We start from the raw sequence: 13,225 nt of genomic DNA, 5'->3' as shown, positions 1-13,225 counted from the left end.
ATTACGTGTGTGTGTACCTTCTAGGGAAGATCTTATCGTGACCAACAGCTGCTGCTTCTCAAGAAGCACTTAGAAAATAATTACAGGAGCAGAGATCGAAAATGGATTGTTTTGTTTCCAGAAGGGGGCTTCCTCAGGAAGAGGCGAGAAACAAGTCAGGCATTTGCCAAGAAAAATAACTTGCCATTTCTTACAAATGTTACTCTGCCAAGGTCTGGGGCAACAAAAATTATTTTGAATGCACTTGTAGCACAACAGAAAAATGGAAGTCCAGCAGGAGGAGATGCTAAAGAATTAGGTATGATGGTTTTTAGCATTTTTTACCTTGTTGGAGTTAAAGGATTTTCTGGAGTTACAGAAGATGATCATTGTTCTTTTTTATATTTATAATTTTTGTTAAAAATAATAGGGAGAAGATGAAACTGTAATTTTTTAAAAAAGTTTCCATTTACAAAAGTAGTCCATGCTTATAATAATTTACTCAAATAATACAGAAATGCGTAAAGTCAAAGATATCTTTCTCCTGTCCTACTTATACGGAGCCATTCCCACCGCTGCAGTAAACATTCTTATAAACATCTTTACATATTGGTGGAACTATTTCTGTAGTACAGATTCCTAGAAGTGGAATTGCTAGGCTAAAAGATATAACTATAGAAATAACATGTTTGAAAAACTAATCTTTTCATTTATCAAATAATACATATTTTCATTTATCAAATTGAGAAAGCTTTTTGGTTTTCTGGGGTTTTTCTTGTTGTTGTTGTTTTTGTTTTTTTTCTGGGTTTTCTTGGGAGACAGTCTTGCTCTGTTGTCCAGGCTGGAGTGCAGTGGTATGATCATAGCTCACCGTAGTCTTGAATTCCTGGGCTCAAGCGATCTTCCCACCTCAACCTCCTGAGTAGCTGGGGTTGTAGGCACATGCCACCATGCCTGGCTAATTCTTTAGTTGTTTTGTAGAGATGGGGTCTCACTGTGTTGACCAGACTAGTGTCAGACCCCTAACCTGAAGTGATACTCCTGCCTTGGCCTCCCAGAGTGCTGGGAGTATAGGTGTAAGCCACCATGTCCAGCCTTGTTTGTTTTTAATGCAGAGAACTAATTTAATGCAATTTGATAGTATTAAGAGCATTAAGTGTTAATAAATGACTCAGTTATTCCACTGCAAATATTTATCAAAAGGAAATAATCTGAAATGCAGGCAAAGAAGTTTATTACAGATTATTTATAATAGCCAATTATTTATAATAGCCAAAAAATTGGAATTAGCCAGAAATGAGAATGGATTAGTAATTATCAAATATCCATACAACGGAATACAACACAGCTGTTACAAATGATGTTTATGGAGTGTTTGTATTGGCTTGGAAAAACGTTTGTGCTCTTATGTTAATAGGGTGGACAAACATACAACTCTTATGAAAACGATTTGAATTCAAGTCTGTAAACAACAAGGCAGTAGGAAATGCGTGAAAGGAAAGACACCAAAATGTTAGCAGTGATTGCTTTTCTGAGTTGTAACATTATGTATTATTTTTCTCTATTTATTAATGCTTTTCTGAATTTTCCATTTTTAAAAATAATATGTATGTATTACCTTCTCACCAGGAAAAGGCAAATCATTCTCAGAGATGCAACTATCTTGCAGATAGTCTGGTAAATTACAAAGTTTTGCAGAAGATATTTGTGCCCATAGCATGGAGACTGTTTTGAACAAGCTATCTAAGATACTACTGTGAAAGTCTGATTATAAGTTAGAAAGCTGAAAGGCATTCACTAGGCCTGTTTCCTTTGCAGTATTTTGCTATTTCTATTCATATTCTTTAAATAAAATAAAATAAGAATTGAAATGATTGGCCCTCAGAAACAATGTGTTTTTAAGTGGCAATCAGGACCAGACGTAGAAATAATGTCTGTGATTTAACTCAGATTTAACTGAGTTTTCCTTTTATTTGTTTTTCCCAAGCAGCTGCTTGGCAGTCAGCTCTCTTAATCTTTCATCATCTATTAAAAAGACAAATTGAAAGAGTCTTTTAATAGAAAAGGAAAGTTCAGAATAGTTTCACTACTGGAGAGACACTGTGGCAATGGCAGCCGAGCCAAAGCTTGAAGGCAAATGTCTTCCAAACAGGATTAGTTGCACTAATAAAGACTGCTGTTCTAAAATAGTTCCACCCAGTCAATACCCTGTAGTGGTCTAGATCTCAAATGTAGGGGCAGTTGTTATACTGACTGCATAATAGTGAAGAAAAATGGTTGTTTTCTTTTACAGAGAACTAGTTTATAACTAAAGCAGAGTAGTTTATTTTTTAATCCTACCTGAAAGCTTTTCATTCTACCTGTTTAGAAGAAAAATTATAAGTGTACTTGAAAACTAGTTTTACCTATATTATTTTCTTTTCCATATTTTGGTATTTTGCATTTTATTTTCTTTTGCATTTATATTCACTAGCATTTTATGCCATGTATACGCAAACCATGCCTTTGTGTTTAATATGTGATGCATACATATATACCAAAATTAAGTTCTGTCTGATTAAAAGGATTAGTATTTTTGTTATCACATGATTTAACAGATATTAAACTGAATTTTGGTGTTTTTTCTCATCATTTAATTATAAAAATTTTCAAACATACATAAGAGTTGAAAGAATTTTGCAGTGGATATCTGTGAGCTGACTAACTAGATTATCTCTTCATCCTTCTATCTATCCATTAATCCATCTTGGTTGTTTCATTTTTTAATGTGTCTAAAAATAAACTTCATTAGTATACTTTACTCCTAAACATTTCAGCATGTATATCATTGGTAGCTTGGTAAAGTGTGTTTCTTTACATAAACTCCATTGATTTAGCAATATGTTATTTAAAAATTAATTTTTTACTTGTTTTACAAGTATATTTTTCTCCTTCACAATGTTATTCTAAAATCTTTACAGAATTTAAGGCCAGTTTTAAATTATTTGACATACAAAAGTAATATATCATTGATTCCTAATGCACATTTGAACTTATGCTTGAAAATTAGTTCTCTTTTTTTAGGGATTTCTTACATACTTCAAATAAAGAATGGACCATTATACTCTAAAGTCTGGCCATCAGTATCCTCTGTGATGTTTCCCCTCTCAGTTCTCGCTCACCTTTGTACCCCATGCTGGGATAAAAACAGTGTGCAAAGGATCAAACTTAGCAGAACTTACCATCCTCTCTCTACAACAGTAGTCACCAGTTGTACCTTCCAAAGGGCAGGAAGCTTTATTGCTTTCTGTGTATATAACTCTTGCTAAAACTGAGGGAGATATTTTGCTTTATTTATTTATTAATTATTTTTTATGTATTTTATCTTTTTGAGATGGAGTTTCACTCTTGTTGCCCAGGCTGGAGTGCAATGGTGCGATCTCGGCTCACTACAACCTCCACCTCCTGGGTTCAAGCGATTCTCCTGCCTCAGCCTCCCGAGTAGCTGGGATTACAAGCGTGCACTACCATGCCTGGCTAATTTTGTATTTTTAGTAGAGATGGGGTTTCTCCATGTTGGTTAGACTGGTCTCGAACTTCCTACCTCAGGTGATCTGCCCGCCTCAGCCTCCCAAAGTGCTGGGATTACAGGCGTGAGCCACTGCACCCAGCCAATTTTTTATGTTTATTTATTTATTTATTTATTTATTTATTTTGAGACGGAGTTTTGCTCTTGTGCCCAGGCTGGAGTGCAGTGATGGCGATCTTGGCTCACTGCAACCTCCACCTCCTGGGTTCAAGTGATTGCCCTGCCTCAGCCTCCCAAACAGCTGGGACTACAGGCATGCACCACCATACCCGGCTAATTTTTTGTATTTTTAGTAGAGATGGGGTTTCACCACGCTGGCCAGGCCAGTCTTGAATTCCTGACCTCAGGTGATCCGCCCACCTCTGCCTTCCAAAGTTCTGGGATTATAGGCGTGAGCTACTGCACCCAGCCTGCTTTGTCTTAAACAAGAGCAGCAACAAAATGTGTACATAAAGAATGCTTAATTTTGTTGCCATGTTCCAATATTTATTAATGCCCATCCTCAGTATCATAAGTCTTGGTGTTTATATTATATTATATTATATTTAGTGAATGATTTTGTTTTGTTTCGAAGTCTGTTTTTTGTTTCTGTGATGTGAGTTTAGCTTCTGACCTTTTCATAGGTTAGTTTTTTATAGGAGTGTTAAATATAAATTAGACCTTCATAGTGCATAATTGTATCAGATACTTGAATGGTGCATGTCCAGTAGATAATAGTGTTCTTTGTTTCGAGGTTCATCCATTTTATAACATAAGTAATCCTTAATTTCTTCTGAAGAGTGTTATAGAACAGGAGCACCAAAGTTCATCCTTAGAATTTTTCTTAATGCAAAAGGTATAGTGATATATCTTACACTGGTCAAGTAATCTATGTTATTTGCTGCAGATAATATAAAAGTTGATTTAATTTTAAGTCTTTTTTTCTTTGTTCTCAGACAGCAAATCAAAAGGCCTCCAGTGGATAATAGATACAACGATAGCTTATCCCAAAGCTGAACCTATAGATATTCAAACCTGGATCCTTGGATACAGGAAACCAACAGTCACACATGTACATTACAGGTAAGAATTCTATATTAGTACTCAGTATATATCCAACAATACTACCTCAGAATAGTATGAATGTCTTAATATTTAGTTTTTAATCACACAGTAGAAATAGTTGGCTCAAGTTCATTCTTATGCTGCATTTTTAATATTAAAATATCATTTGAAGTAGGTATTTCGCTCAGTTATAAAGATCTCTAAAAGTGATATTCTAGAGGCACTATGATTATTCGGTTGCCTGACACTTTTGAGTAAAAGTTAACTCAAAGGGCAAACATCAAGGATAAATATATACTCACTTGGGTTAAGAAGGTATGTATTAATAGAGATATTACAGAAAAGGGGTCCTGATCCAGACCCCAAGAGAAGGTTCTTGGATCTTGAGCAAGAAAGAATTCAGGGCGAGTCTGTAAAGTGAAAGCAAGTTTATTAGGAAAGTAAAGGAATAAAAGAATGGCCACTGCATAGACAGAACAGCCCTGGGGGCTGCTGGTTGCCCATTTTTATGGTTCTTTCTTGATGATATGCTAAATAATGGGTGGATTATTCATGCCTTCCTTTTTTTTTTTTTTTTTTTTTTTTTTTTTTTTTGAGACAGAGTCTCAGTCTGTGGCCCAGACTGGAGTGCAGTGGCGCGATCTCGGCTCACTGCAAGCTCCGCCTCCCGGCTTCACGCCATTCTCCTGCCTCAGCCTCCCGAGTAACTGGGACTACAGGCGCCCGCCACCATGCCCGGCTAATTTTTTGTATTTTTAGTAGAGACGGGGTTTCACTGTGTTCGCCAGGATGGTCTCGATCTCCTGACCTTGTGATCCGCCTGCGTCGGCCTCCCAAAGTGCTGGGATTACAGGCGTGAGCCACCGCGCCCAGCCTCGTGCCTTTCCTTTTTAGACTATATAGGGTAACTTCCTGATGTTGCCATGGTATTTGTAAACTGTGATGGCACTGGTGGGAGCATAGCAGTGAGGATGACCAAAGGTCACTCTTGTGGCCATCTTGCTTTTGGTGGTTTTTAGCTGGTTTCTTTACTGCAACCTATTTTATTAGCAAGGTCTTTATGACCTGTATTTTGTGCTGACCTCCTGTCTCATCCTGTGACTTAGAATGCCTTAACTATCTGGGAATGCAGCCGAGTAGGTCTCAGCCTCATTTTACCCAGCCCGTATTCAGGATTGAGTTGCTCTGGTTCACACACCTGTGATAGAAATTGAATTTGTTTTTAAATCATTAATCCACATAAGATTTTCTGAATGATTAAATTGGTAATTTTGCTATGACTTACACTTTTAAATTTTTAACATTTTAATATGTCATTTGCATAAACAACAGTAGCAAGAACATTTATTGACTATCTATGCTAGCTTCTTGTTTTTTTAATGTAGTTTTTTTAAGGAGTTTATATAAATATGACAGGTATCTGTATGAAGCATAGGCTTCATGATAAGGCCTGTTTGGTTTTGATCACTTTATAGGCCTTTTAGCCTTACTATGTTTCCATGTGAAAGACCTCAACCCGTGGCAACTACCAAGGACAAGTGAGGAGATATACTTTTCTTTTCTTCCCAGGGTTTAATCAAGATTAGTGTCTAACCAATATTAGAGGAGAGGTAGTACCTGTGTTCAGAAATGGAGAGCAAATGAAAACAGCAAGAAAGAACAGAGGTATCCTGGTGTCAGGATAGTACTGTGGTTTTGCAAGAAACTTGTGAGAGGGGATTTGGGCCATGTCTTTAGCAGCTCCCAGGAATAGTGTCTATCAACTGTAGAGTGACTTCTCGTATATTGTTTTTGGCCATCAGGACACCAAGGGGCGTAGGGAAAGAAAGAATGGTTTTAATTCAGAATTTTCGTTCATTTGGTTATATTTTAAAAATTTTAAACAAGGACAAGGTGTTTCAATAAAATTTTTTAAATGCAGCATTAGAAATCACATTATATATACAAATGTTAATAATATAAATAATTGGGATTAGATCCCTTTCTCTTGTAATGTGAGGAGGTTGGCAAGAAAAACTGGGTAGTATCAACTGCTTAAAGTGGGGAGTGGGTGCCCAAAGTGTAGGAAAAGGTTGTCTGGAAACTATAAAGTTCACTAAAAAATTGTAGTTTTGTTTCGTGTTGGCTTCCTTATCTTCACCTATGGGGAGATTTGAAAAACTATTCATGAAGGTTTTTTTTTTTTTTCTGCAGTTAAGCATAATTTCTCCAGAACTCTAGAACATTAAGCCATATGGTACCAGCCAATTTTGTTTCACATGATGTAGAAAGGATTTGTTTTCATCTTAGCAGACTTAAAAAGATAAATAAATAAAGCAGCCCTCATTCTTGAGAATTTAACTGAAGTGATCACTTAGTGATTTTGGTATATAGCTGGGCAAGTCAGTACTATTGCTAGTTTGTTTTTTTTTGAGACACAGGTTCACTTTGTCGCCCAGGCTAGAGTGCAGTGGGCACTGCAACCTCCACCTCCTGGGTTCAAGCAATTCTTCTGCCTCAGCCTCCCGAGTAGCTGGGATTACAGGCACATACCACCATGCCTGGCTAATTTTTGTATTATTAGTAGAGGCTGGGTTTCACCATGTTGGCCAGGCTGGTCTCGAACTCCTGACCTCAAGTGATCTGCCAGCCTCGGCCTTCCAAAGTGCTTTAGCCATGCGCCTGGCCTGTTGCTAGTTTTTTAGTGTAATCTTGGGAAATGTGACATATGACAGTCAGAAAGTAGTTAATCCATCCTGCTCAGCTTTTATTAGATCCCACTTAAGATATTTCATGTATTTTAATTTCTCCATTTTAAAAGAAATAATGTAGTTGGTAAAATGTTATCTATAGAGCTGACAAGCATGAGAAGCCTAGAGTTCTGTAATTAAAAGAAAAAAAAAAGAGCCAACATAGATAAGTCCTAGAACATTAGTACCACTTAAAAGGCAGTTATTATGGATCAAATCAAAACAAATTCATAGGTAGTAGTAATTAAATGAAACACTTTTTTTTTTTTTTTTTTGAGATGGCATTTTGCTCTTGTTGCCCAGGCTGGAGTGCAATGGTGTGATCTCGACTCACCGTAACCTCCGCCTCCCAGGTTCAAGCGATTCTCCTGCCTTAGCCTCCTGAGTAGCTGGGATTACAGTAGGCATGCACCACCATGCCCGGCTAATTTTGTATTTTTAGTAGAGATGGAGTTTCTCCATGTTGGTAAGGCTGGTCTCGAACTCCCGACCTCAGGTGATCCACCCACTTCGGCCTCCCAAAGTGCTGGGATTACAGGCATGAGCCACTGCGCCCGGCCATGAAACAATTCTAAGAGAAACTCCCAGTTGAAAGTACAGATTAAGAGAAAGGTTAACAATTCATAAGTATTAAATCTATAATAAGTTTCTATATATTTGAGATACTTTTATTATATTTTAGGTAGATTTCATAGAGGGCAATAACTGTCCTCTCCTATGTAGTACATCTTGGTGTCTGCTGAGAGCCACAAAATGTGGCTCTGGGTGGCTGGGATATTACATTGTTATGCAATAGCATTCCTTACCGTCAGAATTCACTTGGGAAACAATATAGTTAGCATAATTTATTTAACATTAATCAGTGGTTTGTCTATTTATTTATTTATTTTGAGACAGAGTCTTGCTGTGTCACTCAGGCTGGAATGCAGTGGCACAATCTCGGCTCACTGTAACCTCTGCCTTGCGGGTTCAAGCAATTCTCCTGCCTCAGCCTCACAAATAGCTGGGTTTGCAGGCACCTGCCACCACGCCTGGCTAGATTTTATTTTTCTATAATACATTTACTTTCACTTCTTATAAATTATAGTCCAAGCTACCAAATAAATTCCACTACCTGTTCTGTACCTCACTGGAACATAATGTGACAAGCAAGTATATGGAGATCTCTGAGCAAAAGTGGCGTTTTCCCACAGAGTAAAACTCCCTTCATACTGTGTTAATAAGTTCTTTTTTTTAAAAAAAAATTATTTAAGTAGAAAAAGAATATCTAGATTGCCAGAATGTGGAGCAGAATGTTTTTCTTGATTCGAAATTTCTGTACTGACACTTAGGAAAAAGCAAAAGAATGTAATAACTTATTTTAAATACTCTGAAACTGTTTATTTCTTCCAATAGCAGTTTTCTCCGTTAATTTACTACTCAGGCTTATGTTGGTTTTTAGGATTTCTAGAAGAGATGACATGTTATATATGAAACACCATAAAATACACATTATTTTTATATAAAATACTACTGAAGTACTTAAAATACCACATAGATGAGAAAGTAAACATTTGTGACAGAGTTGTATACTAGAGCCTGTCTTACAAATAGGTAGTATTGCTGTGTTTCAAAAATTGAACTTTTAGGGCATGCATTTAGAGCATATTCCTCAGAAAATTTGTGGCAAATGGTGATTAAGTGCCCAGGCAACTTTGCTAATGCTGGGACTCTGGTGGCCAGAAGTTGCCCTGACTTTGGCGGATGCATTGTTGTGAGATGCAAATGATGTACAGGTAAAAGAGTCTTTCAGGCTGTGCACAGTGGCTCATGCCTGTAATTCCAGCACTTTGGGAGGCTGAGATGGGCAGATCACTTGAGGCCGGAGTTCAAGATCAGCCCGGCCAACATGGTGAAACCCCGTCTCTACCAAAAATACAAAAATTAGCTAGGTGTGGTGTACTACTCAGGAGTCTGAGACGGGAGAATCTCTTGAACCTGGGAGATGGAGGTTGTGGTGAGCCGAGATTGTGCCACTGTACTCCAGCCTGAGCAACAGATCAAGACTCTGTCTCAAAAAAAAAAAAAAAAAAAAGACTTTTAAAAAACACAAAGCACTTTGTAAATATAAAGCACCATTATTAAGATATATAAAGAATGATAGATTATTGGTAAGTCTGGTGTTTATAAATAGCATTCTCCATATATTGTATCTCAGCCATTTATTACTTTAAGAGAAAAGATGCTTTTTAAAAAATTCATTTCTTACCAATATTATTTATTGTTTAACTAGGTAAATATTTTTATTAGCATGCATACAACTACATTATTGAACTTTTTCAAAAGTAATGCTTATTTTAAAAGAACTAAGACTTACCTAAGGGAAACATCTGAGAGTAAAGAACTTTTTCCTCCTCCTCTCCTCTTTTTATTTCTATCAAACTGGAAGACAGCTTATTCCTGCTAAGCAAGTAGTGGGCACAGTGCACTGCTGTTCAGTGGTTAATAGGAAAATTAAACATGATTAGATTTTAATTACAGGGAGAGTATTTATAGGGGTAAAGGCAAAAGTAATGTCTGTCCTTGATATAAATGTCCATTTCACTTCAATTAGGACAGTGAGTTAGAGAAAACGATCCTTGTGCAGAAGTAGCTTATCTTTTCATGTTTAAAATCTTGAGAAAAGATATAACCATAAGTGTAGTGGCATAGATAGATTACTAAAAGCAGAGGTGTTGTTTTCATGTGTAACTTGATTAGGACTTTGGTTACTTGGGAGAAGGCATTCAAGTATGAACTTTGGGAAATAACTTATTTTAATTTGGGGAGGGGGAATTAATTTGGAAAAGAAATATTAATATTTTTTAAAGATACATATGCTGTCTAGCAAGGGTAAACAAACATTAACATTTTGACATATTTGCTTTAGGGTATTTGTAATTGATAAAAGAAATGATATATCATTTCAAGCCGATCAGATTTGGAAAAATCAAAGATGGTGACTTTGACACCGATATGGGAAAAGGTGATCTCATATATACTGCTAATGAGATTATAATCTACTGTGACCACTTTGAGAACTAATTGACTATACTTATTAAGGTGAAAATGCACATACTCTGTGATCTAGCAATTTCCATGGCTGGGCACATACATAGCCTACATTAGTTTGCAGAGTATTATTAAAATTACATCTGCACAGTGAGAATTATTGTCAAAGAGATGAGGGAAAAGTTATTTATGAGAAAAATTACCAAAACTTAAAAACAGAGAATAATATTTCATAATCTTATGCCTAAACCTGTATGTATTTTTGATTAATATATCATTTTGGTCTTTCCTTCTGCTTTTACCCTTACTCCCTAAGACAACAAAACAGTCATGAGTTTTTATACATTTTAGGGGCTGTGATTTCAGAAATAGTTATTCCTTCAAAATCTTTTTATTACAGAAAATTTCAGACTTGTAAATGAAATCTCATGTGCACATCACACCCCCTCGACAATTGCCAAATTATGGTCAATGTTATTTCCTCTACGTTATTTTCAGACCCCAGTGGATTATTTTGAAGCAAGCCTCAGGCATCATATAATGTTATTTGTAAATATTTCATTGTGTATTCTCTAAAATGTAAAAACATGAAAGACCTGAATATATGGAAAGATAATACTTGTGTTCACAGAGAGGAAGACTCAATATTATAAAGATGACAGTTCTTCCAGATTAACCTATAAATTTAACGTAATTCCAAACAGAATTCGGGATGGTTTTTCAAGACACTGGACAAAAATTTGGTTCTAAAATTCATTTGAGAGAGTCAAGATAAATGAATAGCTAAGATAGTTTTGAAGATGAACAAAACAAAGGAGTTCTTCCTACTAGATGTCAAGTTTAGTTACACTAATGTAATTAAAACAGTGTAGTTATAGGAGGAAGTCCACATCAATGGAGAGATTAGAAAGTTCAGGTCTAGATTTATTTGTGAACTCACGTTATGATTGAGTAGCCCTTTCGTATCAATGGAGAAACGACAAACTATCCAATAAATGGCTTTGGGACTGTTGATTCACAATATGGGAGGAAAAGTTAGAATTTTACTCCATACCATATACCAAAATAAATTCCCGGTGGATTTTATCTCAACAACAATAATGGGACCCTAAAGTATTTGGGTGGGTGCAATGGCCCGTGCCTGTATTCCTAGCTACTCAGAAGGATCGCTTGAGCCCAGGGGTTTGAGGCTAGCCTGGGCAACATAGTGAAACAGGGTTTCTCTAAAAAATAAAAATAAAGTATTTGAAGAAAATATAGGAGACTCTTAATGTCTTCAAGTAGGGTACCCCTTCCTTACAAGACCCAGAAATCAGAAGTCATAAGTCATTAAGGAAAAGATAAATATGAGTACATCAAAACTAAAAACTAGGCTGGGCAGCACGGTCGCTCACGCCTGTAATCCCAGCACTTTGGGAGGCCTGAGGCAGGCAGATCCCTTGAGGTCAGGAGTTTGAGACCAGCCTGGCCAATGTGGTAACCCCATCTGTACTAAAACTACAAAAAATTAGCTGGTATGGTGGTGAGCGCCTGTAATCCCAGCTACTCGGGAGGCTGAGTCATGAGAATTGCTTGAACCCAGGAGGCGGAGGATGCAGTGAGCTGAAATAGCGCCACTGCACTCCAGCCTGGGTGACAGAGTGAGACTCTGTCTCAAAAAAATAATAATAATAAAAATAAGTGAATAAAAATAAAATGTCCAATTAAAAAAAAAATCTAAAAACTAGAGTGTTCAAGAGACACAATAAAGTGTTTGAAGTGCACATAACAAAAATAAGTATTGAGTATACAGTCATGTGTCACTTAATGACAGGGATACCTTCTGAGAAATGTGAAATTAGGTGATTTCATCATTGTACGAACATCATAGGGTGTACTTAGACAAACCTAGATGGTATAACCTACTACACACCTAGGCTATATGGCATAGCCTTTTGCTTCTAGGCTGCAGACCTGTACATCATATCACTGTAGTGAAGACTGTAGGCAATTGGACCACAATGGTAAGTATTTGTGTATCTAAACATAGAAAAGGTACAGTAAAAATACCGTATAAAAGTTGTTTTTTTTTTTTTTTTGAGATAGTGTCTCTCTCTCTGTTGCTCAGGCTGGAGTGCAGTGGCGCAATCTTAGCTTACTGCAACCTCCACCTCCTGGGCTCAAGTGATTCTCCCACCTCAGCCTCTCGGGTAGCTGGGATTATAGGCATGTGCCACCATGCTCAGGTAATTTTTGTATTTTTAGTAGAGATGGGGCTTTACCATGTTGTCCAAGCTGATCTTGAACTCCTGGGGTCAAGTGATCCACCCACCTTGGCCTCCCAAAGTGCTAGGGTTACAGGTGTGAGCCACGGTGCCTGGGCAGTATAAAAGAGTCTTAAAATGATACGCCTACTATATATGGAGCTAGTAGGACTGGGAGTTGCTCTGAGTGAGTCAGTGAGTGATGAGTGAATGTGAAGGCCTAGGATATTACCCTATACTACTGTAGACTTTATAAACACTGTACACATAGGCTACACTAAATTTATTTTAAAAATAAAGTAATTGTGCTATGGCATTACAATGACTATGACATCACTAGGCAACAGGAATTTTTCAGCTCCATTATAATCTACGGGAACCATTGTCATATATGCAGTCCGTCGTTGACTGAAATGTCATGTGGCACATGACTATGTATGTAAACAGCTCAATGGTTTTTACAAATCAATAATAGTATTTAAAACCCAGAAGAAAAATGTACAAAAGACACAAAGACTTTTCATTGTTTATAGAAATAAAAATATATGAAAAGATCAGGGAAATGCAAAACAGGGCAAAATACTATTTTTTACTCATCAATATCAAATATTGGTGAGCTTTTAGGGAAATTA

At 36.7% G+C, this 13,225-nt stretch overlaps 1 protein-coding gene across 10 annotated transcripts in view; it reads left to right on the top strand.

Moving 5' to 3' along the window:
* The window catches only part of LPGAT1 (lysophosphatidylglycerol acyltransferase 1), an 87,307-nt gene that overhangs the window by 47,237 nt on the left and 26,845 nt on the right, over positions 1–13,225 (top strand). For all 10 annotated transcript variants that reach the window (NM_014873.3, NM_001375841.1, NM_001375844.1 and 7 more), the window contains 2 exons: positions 25–298; positions 4,483–4,609. In NM_014873.3, the coding sequence (NP_055688.1) occupies positions 25–298; positions 4,483–4,609 (401 nt within the window). The remainder of the gene's footprint in view (positions 1–24; positions 299–4,482; positions 4,610–13,225) is intronic.

This window comes from Homo sapiens, chromosome 1 (genome assembly GCF_000001405.40).
Source record: "Homo sapiens chromosome 1, GRCh38.p14 Primary Assembly".
NCBI classification, from domain to species: domain Eukaryota; kingdom Metazoa; phylum Chordata; class Mammalia; order Primates; family Hominidae; genus Homo; species Homo sapiens.
This window is presented reverse-complemented; position numbering and strand designations above follow the sequence as displayed.